A 23,760-nucleotide genomic window follows, 5' to 3' on the forward strand; every position below is an offset into this window, starting at 1 on the left:
AAGCTGTTATTGCTCACACAAAACCTGTTTGGTGGTCTCTTCACATGGACGTGCATGAAAAGTACACAGTTTATTTGGGTCAAGTTTATGGATTACAACCTGAGAGCAAAGATTCAAGTTGTCTGAAACCTCTACTGTGATCAGCAGCAGTTACAGGAAGATTTGTAAAGACAACAAGAGAGGAACAGAGAGTGGGCTGATACAAAGTTGATTGTCAGAAATTGTTATTTATTTACAGAAATAACATTGATTATTAATTAGATATATATCATTATGGTTTAGGGTATGGGATATAGTGTCCAATGTGGCATTATTAGTTTAATTTTTACCTACCTGTGCCAATAGTGAACAGTTTCAAGAGATGAATATATAGTTCAAAGGGGGGAGAAATACATAACTACACTTTCTTTTAACTCTCTCTGAGTTTGAAGTTCGTAGAAATGTGATTTAGCCTCTCTAGAAGTGACTGTAGAGGACTGTAAGTACCAACTAGGCAGATACACAATTCTGTCTGCATATTTAGGGAACAGCATGCACTGTGCTACACAACTGTCAGTTGACTAGAATCCTCAGAGAGAAAGTCCCTTTTAGAGTACATTCTGGTTGGCACCTTCTGTGTGTACATCATGTCTGGTAATTCTAGACAGTGTTTGGAAACATTAATTAAAAGAAAAATATTCTCCATCCCCAGAGAAACTCCACAATAATAGAACAGAAAGAAAATGGTTTTATTACACAATTAAACTTGAATGTGACATGCATCATCATCAGTCTGCTTAACAGATCGCAAAAACATAAAGATGGTCACCATAATTAGTCCACAAGTAGAAGAATTTACAGCACCATGTCATACATAGTTCATGCTAAATTCACCTGGAGAATGATGAGGCCATTTGTGTATGCTAATTGCTTATATTCAATGACAAATAAACTTTTCCCATCTTCATTGATGCAATAACATCGATAAAGCTGGAGATCATTATTCTTAGAAAACTAATGCAGAGCCTGGGCACGGTGGTTTATGCGTGTAATTCCGGCACTTTGGGAGGCCGAGGTGGGTGGATCACCTGAGGTCAGGGGTTTGAGACAAGCCTGGCCAATATGGTGAAACCCCGTCTCTACTAAAAATAGAAAAATTAGCCAGGCATGGTGGTGCGTGCCTGTAGTGTCAACTACTTGGGAGGCTGAGGCAGGAGAGTCGCTTGAACCCGGGAGGCAGAGGTTGTAGTGAGCCGAGATTGCACCACTGCACTCCAGCCTGAGTGACAGAGTGAGATTCCATCTCAAAAAAAAAAAGAAAATTTTTTTATTTATTTACAGAAATAACATTGATTATTGATTAGATATATATCATATATCATATATATATCATATATCATATATATATCCTTATGGTTTACAGTATGGGATATAGTGTCCAATGTGGCATTATTAGTTTAATTTATACTACTCGTGCCAATAGTGAACAGTTTCAAGAGATGAATACATAGTTCAAAAGGGGAGAAAGACATAACTGTACTTCTATTTTAATGTCTGTCTGAGCTTGATAACAAAAAGACTTCCATTTTTCAGACAAAAGTTTTTTATTTCCCAAATCTCAAGACCTCAATTCAAAATTTGGAGCTACAGATTTAGAGCCTGAATTGCTGGAGTTGCAGCAGGTGTTACCTGCACGTTTGTTGGGATTTTAGCATGAGGAGGAAGGGGAAAGTGGAGATTCTCATGTCTACATGTCTACTCAATGCACACATGTTATTCTGATTAAGTTTCTGGGCTTTATAGTATCTGAATCAGTTTCAGGTCTAAAGACACAAGAGTCAGTGAAAGAGGTAAAATAATTGATTGCTACTCTCTGAAACTTGGAGAAATGTGGTCTAGCCTCTCTAGAAGTGACTGTAGAGGACTATAGATACCAAATCAGCAGAGACACAATTCTGCCTGCATATTTAGGGGATGGCATGCACTGTGCTACACAACTATGAGATGACTGGAAGCCTGAGAGGGAAACTCTCCTCTAGAGTAAATTCTGGTTGACACCTTATGTGTTTATATCATGTCTGGTAATTCTAGACAATGTTTGCAAACAATCCTTAAAAGAAAAATTGGGCTGGGCATGGTGGCTCACTCCTGTACCACTGCACTCTAGCCTGGGTGACAGAGTGAGACCTTCTCAAGAAAAAAAAGAAAACAGCAAAAAAGAAAAATTTTATCCAGCCCCAGAGAAACTCCACAATAATAGAAGAGAAAGAAAATGGTTTTATTACACAATTAAACTTGAATGTGACATGCATCATAGTCAATCTGCTTAACAGTTCACAAAGACAGAAGGATGGTCACCATAATTGGTCCACAAGTAGAAGAATTTCCAGCACCATGTCATACAGGGTTCATCCTAAATTCACCTGGAGAATGAAAAGGCCACCTGTGTATGCTAATTACTTACATTCAATGACAAATAAATTTTTCACATCTTCATAACAGGAGGTAGTTTTGCAGCTTGAAGCCAAGTGCCTGCTGAAGGTAGGCTTTCACTCTGCTACAAAAAAGTTTCAGTAGGATTCTATATTTTTGGCTATTTACATTTTAGAGCAGTGGCTCTGTACTCACTGGCACTTGGCTACAGCACTCCTGCTTGCTTTCTCCTGGTTGCTAGTGTCCTCTATTCACCTCTACCATCTGCCACTGAGGCACAGCCAACAGCACAGCTCACATTTTATGTGAACCCCATTTGCCACAGCAGCACTCTAGTGTCACATGAGCGAGTGAGGCCTGAGCTGCAGGAGGAGAGCCTGCAGGCCTCATGGGTAGAATTACACCTTCACAATAATGGAAATGGGAGTAGTGTTTCAGCCTCAGTTTCCACTTATAATGGTGACAAGGAAAAAATACTGCTGAATTTCCAGCCTGAGTCCAGATAGAGATAGCTCCAAAAGTTCTCACTGTGACAGCCCACCCCATTCAGACACCATGGGATACTAATACTAACAGGGCTTCTGAAACAGACAAAGCATTGGAGAGAAAAACAGATCTCCATCTGAGCGAGATTATTTTGAGAGAAGAAAGTTAAAAAGATTTTAAGAAAAAGCTCAGATTAGATATGAGATTGATCAAGTCAGTCAGAAAATATTCCCTTAAAAGAAATTTCTGTCTAAACACCCAAACCGCACAGCTACTCTCAGCATGAGAAACATGAGCAATATGAAGAAAGGTGGCAGAATTTCAGAAGAATTTTATAAAGTTTCTTTTCGATCTCTGCTGCTTTCTCATCTCCTAGCCATTGAATAGGGGTTCTATCTCTTTTTTACCCTCTCTCTTTTTGAATGTATTCAACAACGTTTACTTTGGTAATAGTGCATTATCAATACTAAAGCTAATTTTAATAACACTTTATAAATAAATAAAATTTGTCAATTTTGACCACTCCAGATTTACATATATATTTTGTAATCTCTTGTAATTTTTTGTCTGTATTTCATTTTTATCCATATTCTTTTTTTTAAACTATATTTGTAATGCTTTATTTCTTTTTTTTTTTTTTTTAATTGATCATTCTTGGGTGTTTCTCGCAGAGGGAGATTTGGCAGGGTCATAGGACAATAGTGGAGGGAAGGTCAGCAGATAAACAAGTGAACAAAGGTCTCTGGTTTTCCTAGGCAGAGGACCCTGCGGCCTTCCGCAGTGTTTGTGTCCCTGGGTACTTGAGATTAGGGAGTGGTGATGACTCTTAACCAGCATGTTGCCTTCAAGCATCTGTTTAACAAAGCACATCTTGCACCGCCCTTAATCCATTTAACCCTGAGTGGACACAGCACATGTTTCAGAGAGCACAGGGTTGAGGGTAAGGTCATAGATCAACAGGATCCCAAGGCAGAAGAATTTTTTTTTTTTTTTTTTTTTTTTTTTTTTTGAGACAGCGTCTGGCTCTGTCGCCCAGGCTGGAGTGCAGTGGCGCAATCTCGGCTCACTGCAAGCTCCGCCTCCTGGGTTCACGCCATTCTCCTGCCTCAGCCTCTCAAGTAGCTGGGACTACAGGAGCCCGCCACCGCTCCCGGCTAATTTTTTGTATTTTTAGTAGAGACGGGGTTTCACTGTGTTACCCAGGATGGTCTCGATCTCCTGACCTCATGATCCACCCGCCTCGGCCTCCCAAAGTGCTGGGATTACAGGCGTGAGCCACCACGCCCGGCCGAAGAATTTTTCTTAGTACAGAACAAGATGAAAAGTCTCCCATGTCTACTTCTTTCTACACAGACACAGCCACCATCCGATTTCTCAATCTTTTCCCCACCTTTCCCCCTTTTCTATTCCACAAAACCAACCTTGTGATCATGGCCTGTTCTCAATGAGCTGTTGGGTACACCTCCCAGACGGGGTGGTGGCCGGGCAGAGGGGCTCCTCACTTCCCAGTAGGGGCGGCCGGGCAGAGGCGCCCCTCACCTCCCGGACAGGGCGGCTGGCCTGGTGGGGGCTGACCCCCACCTCCCTCCCGGATGGGGTGGCTGCCGGGCAGAGACGCTCCTCACTTCCCAGACGGGGTGGCTGCCGGGCGGAGGGGCTCCTCACTTCTCAGACGGGGCGGCTGCCAGGCGGAGGGTCTCCTCACTTCTCAGACGGGGCGGCCGAGCAGAGGCGCTCCTCGCATCCCAGATGGGGTGGCGGGGCAGAGGCGCTCCCCACATCTCAGATGATGGGCGGCCGGGCAGAGACGCTCCTCACTTCCTAGATGGGATGACGGCCGGGCAGAGATGCTCCTCACTTTCCAGACTGGGCAGCCAGGCAGAGGGGCTCCTCACATGCCAGACGATGGGCGGCCAGGCAGAGACGCTCCTCACTTCCCAGACGGAGTGGCGGCCGGGCAGAGGCTGCAATCTCGGCACTTTGGGAGGCCAAGGCAGGCGGCTGGGAGGTGGAGGTTGTAGCCAGCCGAGATCACGCCACTGCACTCCAGCCTGGGCACCATTGAGCACTGAGTGAACGAGACTCCGTCTGCAATCCAGACACCTCGGGAGGCCGAGGCTGGCGGATCACTCGCGGTGAGGAGCTGGAGACCAGCCCGGCCAACACAGCGAAACCCCGTCTCCAAAAAAAAAATACGAAAACCAGTCAGGCGTGGTGGCGAGCGCCTGCAATCGCAGGCACTTGGCAGGCTGAGGCAGGAGAATCAGGCAGGGAGGTGCAGTGAGCCGAGATGGCAGCAGTACAGTCCAGCTTCTGCTCGGCATCAGAGGGAGACCATGGAAAGAGAGGGAGAGGGAGACCGTGGGGAGAGGGAAAGGGAGAGGGAGAGGGAGAGCCATTCTTTTTATTTTTTCAATTTGAAACACCCTTTAAGTAATTTCAAACTGTTATAGGAGATAGAAAGAAATCATTTTTGGGAGGCCGAGGCAGGTGGATGGATCACTTGAGGTCAGGAGTTCACCACCAGCCTGGACAACATGGTGAAATCCTGTCTCTGCTAAAAACACACACACACACACACAAAATTTAGGGAGTGCTGGCTCACGCCTGTAATCCCAACATTTTAGGAGGCCGAGGTGGGCAGATCACTTGAGGTCAGGAGTTCAAGACCAGCCTGGCCAACATGGTGAAACCCCATTTCTACTAAAAATACAAAAAAATTAGCTGGGTGTGGTGGTGCATACCTGTAGTCCCAGCTACTATGGAGGCTGAGGCAGGAGAATCACTTGAACCCAGAAGGCAGAGTAGTGTAACTGCCCAAGGGGTTCACCTTGCCCTTTGCCTAGACAGAGCCAATTCATCAAGACAGGAAAATTTGTGGAGGAAAAGTTAAATATTAAATTTGAACTCAATTGAAAATGGACACAACCAATGGTCACCAAGTCCTGGAACAGGTTGTGTGAGCCCCTTGATGCATTCATCCAGCACTGTTTTGGAGATATCTCTATTTCAATCTATTCCTTTTTTTTTTTTTTTTTTGAGACGGAGTCTCGCTCTGTCACCCAGGCTGGAGTGCAGTGGCGGGATCTCGGCTCACTGCAAGCTCCGCCTCCCGGGTTCACTCCATTCTCCTGCCTCAGCCTCCCAAGTAGCTGGGACTACAGGCGCCCGCCACTACGCCCGGCTAATTTTTTGTATTTTTAGTAGAGACGGGGTTTCACCGTTTTAGCCGGGATGGTCTCGATCTCCTGACCTCGTGATCCGCCCGCCTCGGCCTCCCAAAGTGCTGGGATTACAGGCGTGAGCCACCGCGCCCGGCTCAATCTATTCCTATATATTAGTTGTTGAAAAACAATAGAGAATTGCAAAAGCAAGTTGACTTTTTTGTGTTGCTTGAGCCCAATCATGAACGACTCTCTTGACTGGGCCTTATGCCAAACAACTCATTACCAAAGAGCTAGGGTCCCAGAGTGTGCCCAAGCTTCATGAGACCTCTCCTCATCTGTGCATAGATGAGTGTCTGATTCTGGAGCCCAGACTGTTGCTTCCCACTCTGGTGGTGAATCCTCCATAGTCTGGCGAGCATAATATATATATCTCTTTTCCCTTCTCCTCTTTCCATTGCAATTTGCTTATTGTATCAATCTGCTTATTTCATTGATTTGCTTATCTCATTTGCTTATTATATCTGCATTTCCATTTATGTAGGATAAAGCTTGTTGACCTTTAAAGGTATTGTGTGTGTGTCTTTTCTTCTCCCCTTGCGCGTTTCCCACACAGAACATTTTTGGCATCACAAACAGGATTTGAAAACCAAACTGCCACTTTTTTGCCACAATGACAGAGCTGGAAACTCGAGGAATTCCCATATCCAGGAATGGGAACTCCCCCAGTTCTCACCTTTGGGGACTGAATGGTTAAGGGGAACTGGTCTTTGTGGGAACTGAGAATCTAAATTAGTGCAATTTAAACCTTTGACTGTGCGGGAAGTGCTGCAGGGGATTCCAGTGAGCAAAGGAGATGCTGAGGGATCTCCCGGAGTGGATGGTGTTTGCTTACTGCTTATAAGTTAATGTATCAAGATAGGGGCTGGTTGCTACAAGAGAAAAGGTAAGCTGGAAAAAAAAATGCTAATCCGACTTCCAGACTGACCCTGGCCCAAAGCCAGGCCTATGTCTTGACTGATCAGGCTCAAAGATATCAGCCTATTGATGAAAAAAGCAGCTGTCCCAATGGTCTTATCAGGGTAAAATTGAAGAACTAATCAGCTGGGGCCTGGAGCAGGTAAAAACCCAGCTCTTATCTCAAGGATAGGAAATTAACCTTAGTAAAATTCAAGGACAAGCACAAACTGTAAAATTCCTCGGCATTCTATGGAATGCAGGGAAATAGTCCATTTTACCAAAGGCCAAGGCTAAAATACTAGAATTTGCAACCCCTACCACTAAAAAGGAGGCCCAGAAATGTATTGGCTTGTTTGGATTCTGGAGACATGATATTCCTCACTTGGGTAACATTTTACAACCTCTGCATGCAGCCACTAGAAAACGCTATGACTTTCTTTGGGGAGAGAAAGAGAGCATGGCTTCTGAACAAGCTAAACAAGTGGGTCAACTGGCCCTGGGTCTATGACCTGTACGGGGTGGGCCAGTAGAACTGCAAGTAACTGTCCTAAATCAACATGCTAATTGGAGCCTTAGGCAGAAGCAAGATGGGAAGAGGGTACCTTTCAGGTTTTGGAACCAGAAACTGCCAGAGGATGACAAAGCTTATACCCGTTTCGAGAAGCAATTGTTAGCTTGCTATTGGGTTTTGCTGGAAACGAAACACCTCTGCTTCAACCATGATGTCTTTATGAGGCCTGAAATTCCTACTATGACTTGAGTCATGGGTTCCCCCAAAACTCACCAGATAGGGCATGCCCAAGAAAGTAGCATCATAGAATGGAAATGGTATGTACAAGAGCATGCTAAGCCAAAGCCAAAGCGTATCATTTTTACATGAGGATGTGCAAAACTTGCCAGCTCGGGAGATCACCAAGGAAGTCCTGCAGGTAGGGAAGGAAACCTCCCCCACCCAATGGGGCAACTCCTTTAAAGTGTAAAGCCCAATCTTGTATTAACACGAATAGACTTTCCCTTAGATACCTAACCTTGTTTTTAACATGAATAGACTCTCCCTTAGCTGAGAGAACCGGAAGAACTCCATTTGGCTCCTTCATTTACAAGACATCAAGTGCTCCTTACCCAGCCCCTTTCCTCAAGGACTTAACTTGTGCAAGCTGACTCTCAATATATCAAAGAGTGCAATTAACTGATAAGGTGCTGAGGCAAGCGAAGTCCGCTGGAATTTGCTCGGAGATGGTGCCATAAAGCCCCCGCATTTTGTCCGGTAGATAACACGCAGAGCCCCCGCACCTATCACTTTGTGATGAAATAAAAGCCCCTGCACCTGGAACTGTTTGTTTTCCTGTAACCATTTATCTTTTTAACTTTTTTTGTCTGTTTTTCTTCTGTAAGATTGCTGCAGCTAGAATTCCCCCTCCCCTCTGTAAACCCAAGTATAAAAGAAAATCTAGCCCCTTCTTCGGGGCTGAGAGAATTTCGTGCGTCAGCCATCTCTCGGTCGCCGGCTAATAAAGGACTCTTGAATTTGTCTCAAAGTGTGGCGATTTCTAACTCGCTCAGGTACAACAAAAGAACTAAGCCTAGAGGATCAGAAACATGCTTGATTTATGATGGATCCACCAAATACATTGGTGGGACCCGATGCTGGAAGGCTGTGGCTTATAACCCTGTTAAAAAGGTAAGCACTTCTGATGAAAGAAGGGGTGGGAGCAGCAAGTTAGCTGAACTAGTAGCCATCCTCTGAGCTATACAGGAGGAAGCCAGAGGGATTTGTCACTTTTTTCATGCGCGTCCGTGTGAAGAGACCACCAAACAGTCTTTGTGTGAGCAATAAAAGCTTTTAATCACCTGGGTACAGGCAGGCTGAGTCCAAAAAGAGAGTCAGCGAAGGGAGATAAGGGTGGGGACATTTTATAGGATTTGGGTAGATAAATTACAGTCAAAGGGGGGTTGTTCTCTGGTGGGCAGAGTGGGGGTCACAAGGTGCTCAGTAGGGGAGCTTTTGAGACAGGGTGAGCCAGGAGAAGGAATTTCACAAGACAATGTCATCAGTTAAGGCAGGAATGGGCCATTTTCACTTCTTTTGTGGTGGAATGTCATCAGTTAAGGCAGGAACAGGCCATCTGGATGTGTACAGGTCACAGGGGATATGATGGCTTAGCTTGGGCTCAGAGGCCTGACAACTTGTATACCAACACTTTATCAGTAGCAAATGGTCTTACTACCTGGATGCTCCAATGGTAATGAAACAAATTGTTAATTGGGAATAAAGAGGTTTGGGGAAAACAATACTGGGAAGATGTCTGAATCCTGGCACACACTACCATTATTGCTGTCTTCCATGTTGATGCCCATGCATCTCTGCTTTCTCTTGACAGACTATTTAATCACCAGGAAAATCAACAGGCCAAAATTTTTATTATAACTGCAAACTTGAATGCAGATGAATGGATTACAACGTGTTTCAAGCCTTGCAATGACAGGCATTATAATGGATGGTGGTATAATTTATAGCGATTAGTGGCCTAAATGTGCCACTTAAAAGATACAGAATGGTAGAATGGATAAGAATTTACCAACCAAATATCTGCTATCATCAAGAGACTCGGCCGGGCGCGGTGGCTCACGCCTGTAATCCCAGCACTTTGGGAGGCCGAGGCGGGTGGATCATGAGGTCAGGAGATCGAGACCATCCTGGCTAACAAGGTGAAACCCCGTCTCTACTAAAAATACAAAAAAAATTAGCCGGGCGCGGTGGCGGGCGCCTGTAGTCCCAGCTACTCGGGAGGCTGAGGCAGGAGAATGGCGTGAACCCGGGAAGCGGAGCTTGCAGTGAGCCGAGATTGCGCCACTGCAGTCCGCAGTCCCGCCTGGGCGACAGAGCGAGACTCCGTCTCAAAAAAAAAAAAAAAAAAAGAGACTCACCCAACACATAAAGACTCACATAAACTTAAGGCAAAGGGTTGGAAAAAGATAATCATGCAAATGTACCTTAAGAGCAAGCAGTAGTCGCCATTCTTACATCAGACAAAACAGATATTGAAACAAAAACGGTTAAAAGAAAGACAAAGAGGGACATTATATAATGATAAAGGGACAGGAAACTATCACAATTCTAAATATATGTGGACCTAACACTGGAGCTCCCAATTTATTAAACAATTACTACTAGACCTAAGAAATGAGATCAATGTCAATACAATGATAATGGGGAACTTCAATACTCTACTGACAGCACTAGACAAGTCATCAAGACAGAAAGTCAACAACAACAACAAAAAAACAATAGACTTAAGCTATAGCCTAGAACAAATGGACTTGAAAAATATTTACAGAACATTCTACCCAACAACTACAGAATATACATTTTATTCCTCAGAACATGAAACATTCTCCAAGATAGACATATGATAGGCCACAAAACAAGTCTCAATACATTTAAGACAATCAAAATTATATCAACTACTCTCTCAGACAACAATGGAATAAAAGTGAAAATCAACTTCAAATGCACCCTCACAACCATGCAAATACACGGAAATTAAATGAAAAATAAAATTTAGGATCAACCTGTTTCTGAATTTTTTTGTATGAAATCAAGATGGAAATTTAAAAATTAATTGAGCTGAATGATAATAATGACACAATCTATCAAAATGTCTGGGATACACCAAAAGTGGCGTTAAAAGGAAAGTTCATAGCATCAAGTGCCTACATCAAAAAGTCTGAAAGAGCATAAGTAGACAATCTAAAATAACACTTCAAGGAACTAGAGAAACAAGAACAAGCCAAACCCAAACCCAGCATAAGAAAAGAAATAACAAATATCAGAGCAGAACCCTAGGGGGAGGGGTGGCTGCAGTCTCTGTGGACAAGCAGACTTAGCCTTTCCTCCTGCTAGTTCTGAGCATTTCCAGCAGCTCAGATGAGTGTATTTGCCCCCAGCAAAACACTCCTCCTCCACCAAACGACAGTCAAAGTGCTTCATTAAAAGGGTTCTTCTCCCCATGCACTGGATGAGACCCCTCAACAGGGGTTGTCAGGCACCCTATACAGGAGTGATCCTACTGGCTTCAGGTTGGTGCCTCTTGAGGTCAGAGATCCCAGAGGAAGGTGCAGACACTCTTCTTTACTGCTCTGCAGCCTCCTTGAGTGACCTCTCCAGGCACTGGAGTGAACCAGATGAATAGGGCCTGAGGTGAACCCCTAGCAAGGTGCAGCAACCCTACAGAAGAGGGACCTGACCACTGAATGAAAAACAAACAAACAGAAAGCAGCAACAACAGCATCAACAAGAAAAAAATATACCCAGAAAAATCCCACCCAAGGCTGCACATGGTGGCTCACACCATAATCCAAATACTTTGGGAGGTTGAGGCGGGCAGAGCACTTGAGGTCAAGAGTTTGAGACCAGCCTGGCCAACGTGGTGAAACCTGGTCTCTACTAAAAAAAATACAAAAATTAGCCAGGCGTGGTGGTGCACGCCTGTTGTCCCAGCTACTTGGGAGTCTGAGACATGAGAATCACTTGAACCTTGGAGGCGGAAGTTGCAGGGAGCCAAGATCCTGCCACTGCACTCCAGCCTGGGTGACAGAGCAAGACTCTGTCTCAAACAAAACAAAACAAAACAAAAAAATCCAAGGGTCAGCAGCCTCAAAGATCAAAACTAGACAAACTCATGAAGATGAGAAAGAATCAACAAAAAAACATTGAGAGGCTAGAGTGCCTCTTCTCCAAATGATCAAAATGTTTCTTCAGCAAGGGTACAGAACTGGACAGAGGATGAGATGCAGGAATTGACAGAAGTAGGCTTCAGAAGATGGGTAATAAAAAAACTCTGCTGAGCCAAAGGAACATGTTCTAACCCAATATAAAGAAGCTAAGAACCTTGATAAAAGGTTAGAGGAGCCGGGCGCGGTGGCTCACGCCTGTAATCCCAGCACTCCGGGAGGCCGAGGCGGGCGGATCACGAGGTCAGGAGATGGAGACCATCCTGGCTAACAAGGTGAAACCCCGTCACTACTAAAAAATACAAAAAAAATTAGCCAGGCATGGTGGCGGGAGCCTGTAGTCCCAGCTACTCGGGAGGCAGAGGCAGGAGAATGGCGTGAACCCGGGAGGCGGAGCTTGCAGTGAGCTGAGATCACGCCACTGCACTCCAGACTGGGCGAAAGAGCAAGACTCCGTCTCAAAAAAAAAAAAAAAAAAAAAGGTTAGAGGAACTGCTAACTATAATAACAAGTTTGGAGAGGAACATAAATGATCTGATGGAGCTGAAAAACACAGCACGAGAACTTCATGAAGCATACAAAAGTATCAGTAGCCGAACTGACCAAGCAGAAGAAAGAATATCAGTATTTGAAGACCACCTTGTCAAAATAAGGCATGCAGACAAGATTAAAGAAAAAAGAATAAAAAGGAACAAAGAAAGCCTCTGACAAATATGGTGTTCTGTGAAGGAAACACATGAGGGTAGAAGAAAAGACACCTACACAATACCTTTAAGGGTAAACAAGCTTTATCCCACATAAATGGCAATGCAGATATAAGTAAATTTTTTTTTTTTTTTTGAGACGGAGTCTCACTCTGTCACCCAGGCTGGAGTGCAGTGGCGCGATCTCGGCTCACTGCAAGCTCCACCTCCCGGGTTCACGCCATTCTCCTGCCTCAACGTTCTGAGTAGCTGGGACCACAGGCACGTGCCACCATGCCCGGCTGATTTTTTGTATTTTTAGTAGAGACGGGGTTTCACCGTGGTCTCGATCTCCTGACCTCCTGATCCGACCGCGTTGGCCTCCCAAAGTGCTGGGATTACAAGCGTGAGCCACCGCGCCCGGCCAAGTAAATTGATATAAGAAAATTGCAATGGAAAGGGGAGAAGGAAAAAGATATATATATATACACACACACACACATAAATATATATATATACACACATATAAATATATATATACATACACACATAAATATATGTACATATATATACACTCACCAGACTATGGAGGATTCATCGCCACACCGGAATGCAACAACCTGGGCTCCAGAGTCAGCCACCCATCCATGCAAGGACAAGGAGAGGTCTCTTTAAGCTTTAGTGCGTTCTGGGGCTCTAGGTCATTTTGTAACAAGTTGTTTGGCATGAGGCACAGTGGAGGGCCCTTGAGACTGGGCTCAAGGAACACAAAAAGTTAACTTGTTTTTGCAATTGGCTATTGTTTTTCAATAACAATATAAAGGAATAGATTGAAATCGAGATTTCTCTGAAACAACTCTAGATGAATGCATCAAGGGGCTCGCAGAACCTATTCTCAGGCTTGGTGACCATCGTTTGTGTCCACATTCAATTCAATTCAAATTTAACTTTTTCTCCACCTTTGGCCTCAATTGGATACTCAATTGTAGGAAAATACCCTTACAGATACATAGGGAAGGCATAGTCGATATAGATTACAGATACAGGGTAAGGACAGGAGAATTAAAAGCACAATTAATAAAAACCACACCCAGCATGGCTTTCTAAGGAGAGTCATATTGTGAGAATTGCCAGGGATATACACACCACATTTAGCATGCAATATGGCACAAATCCCTCCTTGGGCTGCGGTAAGCATATCTAATGCCATTTGATTTTGCAACACAACAGTACTCAGCTGAGCAAATTTATCTGGTAACAACATAAGTCTAGTGCTAATATCATTAAGAGCTTTTTCTACATATAACCTTAATATTTTAGTTTGTTGCTGAAGCAGGATTGTACCAGTGGCAGGGGAGAATACTGTGATAGGGTACTGCCACCAGGGAGGCCAGGGAGGCTGGCACATTCATAACCAGTGATGTTTGTAAGTATCTAAATTACTTGGGAGAGGAATATTAACCCGGATGGTGAATGGAATTAATGGCTATCCCCAAGTTCATCTCCCTGTCCAGTGTGGGGACAGGTATCACCACTCATAGGATCTGCATACCCAGAGGGCTCCCCCAGGGGACAGCAATGGAGCTACTGTAATCACAGTGTACTCATGTATTATTAAAGTAGGAAAGAGATTGTGGTTCACTGGGGGCAATGTTGATTTGGAGTATGTGTTGACAATTGTCTGGAGAAACCCCAGAGTAATATTAGAGGAACCTTTTAAGGCCTCCAGACTAAGCGGGGGCTATAGGGAATCCAGGCACCAGCACAGCTGGTTTCCAAAATATACCATTCCAGGAATATTGGGCAGGATACCAAGGCTTTTGATGAAAGGAGAATGTGGAGTTCACCTTTTGTCTGACTTGGGCAAAGATAGATTGCTTAGTGTGGTCAAAGGAAGTACAGGTTGGACTACAAGTGTTGTTGTGACCCCGTTGGTAACTACATAGCCATTCAGAAATGTTGTCAGGATGATTCTCCAAGGTAGCCCATTCCTGGCGGCCTTTGGCAACTCGACGTATAGAAAACATTGTCTGTGATTGGCTTCTATTGCAGCGGTGGCTACCCAGTTCATGAATTTATTCTTGGCCTCAGACACAAAGACACAGGTGCTGACCATTAGTAGATAGATTATTCCCTGTAATAACAAAAAAGGATAGGAACATCATATTGTTTTTCATCTTTAGGAAATTGTACTATGCCTTCATTTTCTGTTTTCACAGCTACAAGGTCACCAGACTTAGGGGTGGGATCTGATGGATGCTGTACCCATATATTGGCTCCAGGATTTAAGCTACATGAACCAGTGGATCTGAATCCCCGAGTTCTGTATGTAGCCTCTGTTGGGACAGAGATTTCCTCAGGGGTTAATTGTTGACAAGGTACCACTAATAATTGAGCAACCCACATTTGTGGTTTTATAGCAAAAGAATCTGGAGTGGTATTGTATAAAACAACCTTTAACTCTCCCCAGTAATCACCATCAATTATACCACCAAACACTATAATGCCTCTCATTGCAAGGCTTGAACACATTGTAATCCATTCATCCACATTCAAATTTGCATTTATGGTGGAAATTTTGGCCTGTCGATCTTCCTGCTGATTAAATAGTCTGTCAAGAAAAGCAGAGATGCATGAGCATCATCATGGAAAACAGATCCAGGAGTGGTGGCCCAAGCCTGTACTTCTACCAATTTGGGAGGCTGAGGTGGGTTGTTCACGAGGTCAGGAGATTGAGACCACCCTGGTGAACACAGTGAAACCCCGCCTCTACTAGAGAAGTACAAAAATTAGCTGGGCGTGGCGGTGCATGCCTGTAATCCCAGCTACTCGGGAGGCTGAGGCAGGAGAATCACTTGAACCTGGGAGGCAGAGGTTGCAGTGAGCTGAGACTCAGCCACTGCACTCAAGCCTGGTGACCCGAGACTGAGCCACTGTACTCCAGCCTGGTGACAGAGCTAGACTCCGTGTCAAAAAAAATAAATTAATTAATACAGGAAAACAATGATAATGGTAGTGTGTACCAGAATTCATGTATCTTCCCAGTATTGTTTTCCCCATACCTCTTTATTCCCAATTAACCATTTGTTTTGTTGTCATTGGGGCATCCAGGTAGTAAGACCATTTGCTACTGAGCAAGAGTTGGTATACAAGTGACAAATCCTTCTTCCTTCCTTTCGAAGAGCTCAGAGGATGTCTACTAGTTCAGTTAACTGGCTGCTCCCACCCCTTTCTTCATCAGAAATGGTTATGTTTTTCGGTTGTTTGTTTTTGAGATGGAGTCTCAGTCTGTCACATAGGCTGGAGTGCAGTGGTGAGACCTCAGCTCATTGCAACCTCTGCCTCCTGGGATTCCAGTGATTCTCCTGCCTCAGCCCCCTGAGTAGCTGGGATTATAGATGCATGCCACCACACCTGGCTAGTTTTTGTATTTTTAGTAGAGATGGGGTTTCATCATGTTGGCCAGCCTGGTCTCAAACTTCTGACCTCGTGATCCACACATCTTGGCCTCCTGTGGATTTTGAGGGAACTCGTGACCTAAATCATAACAGGAAATTTAGGCCTCATAAAGACATCATGGTTAAAGCAGAGGTGTTTTGTTTCCAGTAAAGTCCAATAGCAAGCTAACAATTGTGCACAGGTGAGGAGAGCTGTCACGAAGCTTTGGCGCAGTCTGGGACCCTAGCTCTTTTGTAATGAGTTGTTTGGCACGAGGCTTAGTCATGAGGACCCTTCGCGACTGAGCTGAAGAAACACAAAAAGGTCACTTGTTTTTGGGATTGTCTGTTGTTTTTCAAGAACGAATGTATAGGAATAGATTGAAATACAGATTTCTCTGAAACAGCGCTGGATGAACGCCTCTAGGGGCTCACACAACCTGTTCCCGGACTTGGTGACCATTGTTTGTGTCCACGTTCAATTAGCACAAATTTATTATTTAACTTTGACTCCACACCAGACTATGGAGGATTCACCACCAGACCGGAAAGCAACAGGATGGGCTCCAGAGTTGGCCACCCATCGGTGCACAGACCAGGAGAGGTATAATGACGCTTCTGCGCGGTCTGGGAACCTAGCTCTTTTTGTAACGAGTTGTTCAGCATGAGGCCTAGTCACCAGGGCCCTTCATGACTGGTCTCAAGGAACACAGAAAGGTCAACTTGTTTTTGTGATTGTCTATTGTTTTTCTTTTTCTTTCTTTCTTTTTTTTTTTTTTTTTTGAGACGGAGTCTCGCTCTGTCGCCCAGGCTGGAGTGCAGTGGCGCGATCTCGGCTCACTCCAAGTTCCGCCTCCCAGGTTCACACCATTCTCCTGCCTCAGCTTCCCGACTAGCTGGGACTACAGGCGCCTGCCACCAGGCCTGGCTAATTTTTTGTATTTCTAGTAGAGACGGGGTTTCAGCGTGTTAGCCAGCATGGTCTTGATCTCCTGACCTCGTGACCCGCCCGCCTCAGCCTCCCAAAGTGCTGAGATTACAGGCGTGAGCCACCGCGCCCGGCCTTGTCTATTGTTTTTCAATAACGAATGTATAGGAATAGATTGAATAGATTGACATAGAGATTTCTCTAAAATAGCACTGGATGAACGCCTCAAGGGGCTCACACAACCTCTTCCAGGACTTGGTGACCATTGTTTGTGTCCACGTTCAATTGAGTTCAAATTAAATATTTAACTTTTCCTCCACAAATTCCCCTGTCTTGATGAATTGGTTTTGTCTGGGCAAAGGGCAAGGTAAACTCCTTGGGCGGTTACACAACCTCCACCTCCTAGGTTCAAGAGATTCTCCTGCCTCAGCCTTCGGTGTAGCTGGGACTACAGGTGTGCACCAGCACGCCCAGGTAAGGTTTTGTATTTTTAGTAGAAATGGGGTTTCACCGTGTTGGCCAGGGTGGTCTTGAACTCCTGACCTCAAGTGATTCGCCCTCTTTGGCTTCCCAAAGTGCTGGAATTACAGGCGTGAGCCACCGCGCCTGGCCCTAAATGATTTCCTTTCTGTCTCCTATAACAGTTTGAAATTACTTAAAAGTTGTTTCAAATTGAAAAAATAAAAAGAATGTAGATAAAAATAAAATATAAAAAGTTAAAAAAATTACATTAGATTACAAAATATATATGATGTATATGTAAGTCTCGAGAGGTCAAAAATGACAAATTTGATTTACTTACAAGGTTTTATTAAAATTAGCTTTCGTATTGATAATACACTATTACCAAAGTAAAAGTTTTCTCTTGAACAAAAATTTTTTGTATTATTAATATGACAGCCAAATACTTCTGTTCACCTTTTGAATACATTCAAAAAGAGAAAGAGTAAAAAAGAATTTTCCCATGCTCTCCGGTGGGCCTGGCTCAGCTCAAGGAGGAAGCCCGGCCTGAAAAGGCTGCAGCTGAGGCTGTGACTCTTTCTTCACTCAGCCCAGCATGTGATCACATCTTCTGTCACTCAGGGACTGAGGAGGCGGGGCCTTAAGCATTATCCAATCAGGGACGCTGGGTTGGAAACCGTCCAATCATGCAGGCAGCTGGAGCGAAGAGGAAGGCTTTCGGGTTTGGCGCGGCCATTTGTCTCTTGCTGCAGCTGGTGCTCCAAATCTGGTCTTAGCTGCTTCGTGTCTTCTTCTCCAGCCTCTGTGGCCCTGTGACCTGCAGGTATTGGGAGATCCACAGCTGAGGGACCCCCGGAAGCCTAGAAATGGTGAGAGTGCCTTTCCAGCATTCCGAGAGAGGGGAGGGACTGGTTGGAACCGATGGGAAGTGGCTGTGGCGGGACTTAGGCCTCCCCGCAGTCAGCTCCACAATCTGCGACCGACTTCTCCTTGCCCAGTTCGGCCTCAGTCCCCTTCAGCCATAAGATGGCAACAGCGCCGACAGCCGGGCCCCGCGGCGTCCTGTCTCTTCCCTGCCCTGGCCTGGAGCCCTCTCTGGGCAGCTCTGCACCCACAGCGCTGCGTCTCTCCCAGATTGTGCAGGGAGCACGGGAGGGTTCTCGGGGGAGAATCCTGACTCGGGGTGCAGGTTCATGAATGGGAAGAGCTTTGGTCCATGGGGTTGACAGTTTCTCTTTTCTCCTATTAAAAACTTATGGGGCCGGTCGCTGTGGTTCATGCCTGTAATCCCAGCATTTTGGGAGGTCGAGGCGAGCGGATCACTTGAGGTAAAGGGTTGTTAGTACAACGTAGTTCTTCTTCAAAGACGCAACTTCCTGGTCATAAGTTGGAAAAGTTGTAAATCACCCCTACCCCTTCTTCTCCCTTCTCCTTTTCTCACAAATCGCGCATTACCCGATTTGGAAAAAGCTTGAGTGTAAGCCAACCGGGATCAGCTTAGATTGTGCGGTCTGACCCCAGCCAATGGAGGGAAAACAAAAACAGAACTGCATTAGGGCTAATAACCCCTTCCCGGCCAGGCGCGGTGGCTCCTGCCTGTAATTTCAGCACTTTGGGGCGCCGAGGCGGGCGGATCACGTGGTCAAATTTCTAGACCAGCCTATCCAACGTGGTGAAACCTCTCTCTACTAAAAATACAAAAATTAGCCTGGAGTGGTGCCAAGCGCCTGTAATCCCAGCAACTTGGGAGGCTGAGGCCCGAGAATTGCTTGAACTCGGGAGGCAGAGGTTGCAGTGAGCTGAGATCCCTCCATCGCGCTCCAGCATGCGCGACAGAGGGAGAGTCCTCAAAAAAAAAAAAAAAAAAAAAAGTAAGCATCTTAAAATTTCCATCCTTTATGTAAACACTGTGTTTTAGTAACTTCACTGTATTTTCCAACACTTAGTTTCAAAAACCCAGTGAATAACTCTGGCATGGAAATTAAAGCTTGAACCTAGTGATTCCGAGCTAAGGCTAATATTAAGCCTGCAAAAGGAGGGTTTTTTTTTTTTTTTTGAGATGGAGTTTGTCCAGGCAGATGCAGTTAAGATTAAGATGAAAGGAAACTGGATGGGTCTTACTGATAATGATGTTATTGTTTTGAGGCACTTGTTTGACTTTGTAAAATAAAAACGTTAGATTTATGGAAAAAAATGAATTCCAAAAACATATTGCAACAGGAGGAAGTACCAACAAAGTATAACGTCTTTATGGCTTGCAAAAACGTAGGCAGAAAAGTGCTTTCTTCCCTAGGGAGGAGCAAAGAAGTTTAGAAAGGAGGTGGGAGGGGAATGGCAAATGGAGGGTGCAAAAGTCAGATTTTATATCAGAGAATGTCTTACTCTGAAATCAGCATGTTCTTAGGAGGGATGTAAAATGTGGTTGTATGTTGACTCAGACTGAGGGTAGCTCAAAGTTCAGGAGCTTGAGGGAGGCATATAAGCTTAAGAAAAGTTTCATTGAGAAATATTTTGTTTTAGGCCAGGCGCGGTGGCTCACGCCTGTAATCTCATCTGCTCGGCCACCCTGTCCCGGCCCTGAAGCGATGTAAGCAAGAAGCTGCCCTGCTGGAACTGCTCCTTCGGGAGACTGCTGATTTTGGCATTCTTTTTCCTTTCATCGTATTTCCTCTTTTTTTTTTTTTTTGAGATGAAGTTTCTCTCTTATTGCCCAGGCTGGAGTGCAATGGCACAATCTCGGCTCACTGCAACCTCCGCCTCCTGGGTTCAAGCGATTCTCCTGCCTCAGCCTCCCGAGTAGCTGGGATTACAGGCATGCACCACCACACCTGGCTAATTTTGTATTTTTAGTAGAGACAGAGTTTCTCCATGTTGAGGCTGCAAGAATTGCAGGTCAGCAAGAATTGCTGCCCAGGGGCAGCACATAATGGGACTAGTACCACCGTCCTGACGGTGTGCTGTTGATGAGCACGATGCAATTCTTCACCAGGGTCTTGGTACGGACTAGCTCGTTATTAGATGTATTGTAGACAACATGGACGATCCTTGTTTTACCAGTACAACACTCTGAGCCACAGGAGAAATTCCCCCGTCCAGCCTCAGGGCACCGTATTTCTTCTTACCTCCCCACAAACGGACTGTGTGGATGCGGCGGGGGCCAATCTTGGTGTTGGCAGCCGGGCGCCACAACTCATCCTTCTGCTTCTTGTGGTAGGGCTTTCTCTTGCCCCTGGACTTGCAGCGTTTGTGCCAGTTGTCCCAAGAGATGCCCATCTCTCAGCGCTGGCTGGAAAGAGTTCTCTTTTCTTTGATCTATGCATTTCTTCCATTTGGCTTTTCCTGGGCCACATCTTATACATTAAACCGGTAAACATCACTACAGTGTTTTCCTGAGTTCTGTGAATAGCTCTAGCAAATTATTTGGGTGTCCCCAATTTTCAAACAATAGGTGAGAAGCATAGATGGGCCATGGGGTTTGTGACTGGCATCTGCAGTGAGGACAATGTTGTGGGACTGAGCACTGAAACGGGGTCTGTGCTGACTCTGGGTGGTGTCAGATTTCAAATGTTAGATAATGAGTTGTTGTTGGAGAGTTGTTTGACGTTCAGCAAACTCTGCAGATTTGGTGCCAGCAAAAGATATCACGGAGGCCTGGCCTGGAATAAAACTCTGGGTGTTTGGGAATAGGAGGCTCTCCTGTACACAGGCTGTCACACTGCCCATTGTCCTGTGATTCCAGATCTTCTCCCAGGGTGACAGAGGACTGAAAACTTAGAGGAAAAGAGCTCTGATGACAGACACCCCCCTTTTCTTGCAAGTGCCACAATAGGATTCCCACCTACTCACAAACACACACACTAGACATAGACGTGCCCATACTCCTCCCAGGACTAGGCACCACCTTCAGGAACTTCATTATGCCATTTTTTTTTCTTTTTCTGAGACAGAGTCTTGCTCTTTTGCCCAGGCTGGAGTGCAGTGGTGCCATCTCGGCTCACTTCAACCTCTGCCTCCCAGGTTCCAACGATTCTTCTGCCTCAGCCTCCCAAGTGGCTGGGATTACAAGTGAGTGCCACCACACCCAGCTAATTTTTGTATTTTTAGTAGAGACTTGGTTTCACCATGTTGGCCACGCTGGTCTCAAAATCCTGACCTCATGATCCACCCACCTTGCCCTCCCAAAGTGCCGGGATTACAGGCATAAGCCATCGCACCCAGCCAGCATTTTTGATCCTAGTGTTTCTTGCCAAGAACCCACAAGTGTCTACAAGTCTCCTGGCATATCCCCACCCCCAGACACTGAATCTGCAGCAGCAACCTATTTTCTCCATCAACCTAAAGGTCTGGACCTCCTCTTTATAATCTCATCTGCCTGCATGCATACAGAAATAAATCAGAGTGTGGCCCCACCTGGGCCACTATCTGTAGCGAAAATCAGTCTGTTCATCTACATTGCAGTCTTTCCCACACAGGGATTTGTTTTTTTTCTTTCTTTCTTTCTTCTTTTTTTTTTTTTGAGATGGCGTCTCGCTCTGTCATCCAGGCTGGAGTGCAGTGGCGAGATCTCGGCTCACTGCAAGGTCTGCCTCCCAGGTTCACACTATTCTCCTGCCTCAGCCTGCTGAGCAGCTGGGACTACAGGCACGTGCCACTACCCCCGGCTAATTTTTTGTATTTTTAGTAGAGACGGGGTTTCACCATGTTAGCCAGGAGGGTCTCGATCTCCTGACCTCGTGATCCACCCGCCTCGGCCTCCTAAAGTGCTGGGATTACAGGCGTGAGCCACCGCGCCTGGCCTGTTTTTTTTTCTTGTAGCTTTTATTTTTGGTTTAGGGTACACATATGGGTTTGTTATACAGCTAAAATTATGTCATGGGGGTTTGGTGTGCAGATTTTATCACTGAGATACTACGTATAGCACCAAACATGTCTGTTTTCTGATCCTCATGGTCCTCCCACTCTCCACCCTCTACTAGGTCTCAGTGTCTGTTATTCTCCTGTTGTGTTCATGTGTTCTTATTATTTAGCTCTTACTTATAAATAATAACATGCATTTGGTTTTCTGTTTCTGCATTTGTGGGGAAAAGAGAGATCAGACTGTTACTGTGTCTATGTAGAAAGAAGTAGACATAAGAGACTCCATTTTGTTCTGTACTAAGAAAAATTCTTCTGCCTTGAGATACTGTTAATCTGTAACCCTACCCGCTACCCTGTGCTTGCAGGAACATGTGCTGTGTCCACTCAAGGTTTAATGGATTTAGGGCTATGCAGGATGTGCTTTGTTAAACAAATGCTTGAAGGCAGCATGCTTGTTAAAAGTCATCACCACTCCCTAATCTCAAGTGCCCAGGGACACAAAACACTGTGGAAGGCCGCAGGGACCTCTGCCTAGGAAAGCCAGGTATTGTGCAAGGTTTTTCCCCATGTGATAGTCTGAAATATGACCTCATGGCAAGGGAAAGACCTGACCATCCCCCAGCCCGACACCCATAAAGGGTCTGTGCTGAGGAGGATTAGTAAAAGAGAAAGTCCTCTTTGCAGTTGAGATAAGAGGAAGGCATCTGTCTCCTGCTCCTCCCTGGGCAATGGAATGTCTCAGTGTAAAACCTGATTGTATATTCCATCTACTGAGATAGGAGAAAACCCCCTTAACGCTGGAGGTGAGACGTGCTGGTGGCAATACTGCTCTTTAATGCACCAGATATGTTTATGTATGTGCACATCAAAACACAGCACATTTTCTAACCTTGTTTCTGACACTGAGACATTTCTTCACGTTTTCCTGCTGACCCTTCCCCCGCTATTACCCTATTGTCCTGCCACATCTCCCTCTCTGAGATGGTAGTGATAATGATCAGTAAATAACTAGGGAACTCAGAGACTGGTGCCGGTGCCGGTCCTCCATCTGCTGAGCTCTTGTCCCCTGGGCCCACTTTTCTTTCTCTATACTTTGTCTCTGTGTCTCTTTCTTTTCTCAGTCTCTAGTCCCACCCGATGAGAAATACTCACAGGTGTGGAGGGGCAGGCCACCCCTTTAGCATTAGTTTTCTTTTTTTTTTGTTTTTTGTTTTGTTTTTTGAGATGAAGTTTTGCTCTTGTTGCCCAGGCTGCAGTGTAATGTTGCGATCTCGGCTCATTGCAACCTTTGACTCCTGGGTTCTAGCGATTCTCCTGCCTCAGCCTCCCAAGTAGCTAGTATTATAGGCGTGCACCACCACGTTTGGCTAATTTTGTGTTTTTAGTAGCAACAGGGTTTCTCCATGTTGGTCAGGATGGTCTTAAGCTCCCGACCTCAGGTGATTATCCCACTTCAGCCTCCCAAAGTGCTGGGATTACAGGCCTGAGCCACCACGCCCAGGCTCTGCATTAGTTTTCTAAGAATAATGATCTCCAGCATCATCGATGTTATTGCAAAGGACATAATCATTTCTTTTAATGGCCACAGAGTATTCATGATGTTTATGTATCATATTTTGTTTTTACTAAATCTTTTA

The 23,760-nt window shown here is 45.2% G+C and overlaps 1 protein-coding gene and 2 pseudogenes across 1 annotated transcript in view, besides 5 other annotated features; 2 read left to right on the forward strand and 1 right to left on the reverse strand.

The window, feature by feature from the left end:
• Nucleotides 1–606: part of an enhancer, noted in NCBI's record as "OCT4-NANOG-H3K27ac hESC enhancer chr19:20170471-20171415 (GRCh37/hg19 assembly coordinates)", that runs on past the window's edge. NCBI's record gives its function as "activates a minimal SCP1, AML or CMV promoter by ChIP-STARR-seq in naive H9 embryonic stem cells {active_cell/tissue: H9 hESC(naive)}" and the evidence as "EXISTENCE:reporter gene assay evidence [ECO:0000049][PMID:30033119]".
• The window catches only part of BNIP3P13 (BCL2 interacting protein 3 pseudogene 13), a 3,814-nt pseudogene extending 432 nt beyond the window's left edge, over nucleotides 1–3,382 (forward strand).
• Nucleotides 7,803–8,391: an enhancer, noted in NCBI's record as "NANOG hESC enhancer chr19:20178612-20179200 (GRCh37/hg19 assembly coordinates)". NCBI's record gives its function as "activates a minimal SCP1, AML or CMV promoter by ChIP-STARR-seq in primed H9 embryonic stem cells {active_cell/tissue: H9 hESC(primed)}" and the evidence as "EXISTENCE:reporter gene assay evidence [ECO:0000049][PMID:30033119]".
• Nucleotides 8,726–9,471: an enhancer, noted in NCBI's record as "NANOG-H3K4me1 hESC enhancer chr19:20179535-20180280 (GRCh37/hg19 assembly coordinates)". NCBI's record gives its function as "activates a minimal SCP1, AML or CMV promoter by ChIP-STARR-seq in naive H9 embryonic stem cells {active_cell/tissue: H9 hESC(naive)}" and the evidence as "EXISTENCE:reporter gene assay evidence [ECO:0000049][PMID:30033119]".
• Nucleotides 17,943–18,422: an enhancer, noted in NCBI's record as "active region_14377". NCBI's record gives its function as "activates an Ori minimal core promoter by ATAC-STARR-seq in GM12878 lymphoblastoid cells {active_cell/tissue: GM12878}" and the evidence as "EXISTENCE:reporter gene assay evidence [ECO:0000049][PMID:35858748]".
• ZNF90 (zinc finger protein 90) overlaps nucleotides 18,000–23,760 on the forward strand; it is a 43,169-nt gene continuing 37,408 nt past the window's right edge. The window contains exon 1 of the mRNA NM_007138.2: nucleotides 18,000–18,135. Coding sequence (NP_009069.1) covers nucleotides 18,133–18,135 — 3 coding nt within the window. The 5' untranslated portion in view covers nucleotides 18,000–18,132. The remainder of the gene's footprint in view (nucleotides 18,136–23,760) is intronic.
• Nucleotides 20,170–20,562, reverse strand: RPS8P11 (ribosomal protein S8 pseudogene 11; annotated as a pseudogene).
• Nucleotides 22,036–22,891: an enhancer, noted in NCBI's record as "OCT4-NANOG-H3K27ac-H3K4me1 hESC enhancer chr19:20192845-20193700 (GRCh37/hg19 assembly coordinates)". NCBI's record gives its function as "activates a minimal SCP1, AML or CMV promoter by ChIP-STARR-seq in naive H9 embryonic stem cells {active_cell/tissue: H9 hESC(naive)}" and the evidence as "EXISTENCE:reporter gene assay evidence [ECO:0000049][PMID:30033119]".

This window comes from Homo sapiens, chromosome 19, assembly GCF_000001405.40.
Source record: "Homo sapiens chromosome 19, GRCh38.p14 Primary Assembly".
Lineage (NCBI taxonomy): Eukaryota > Metazoa > Chordata > Mammalia > Primates > Hominidae > Homo > Homo sapiens.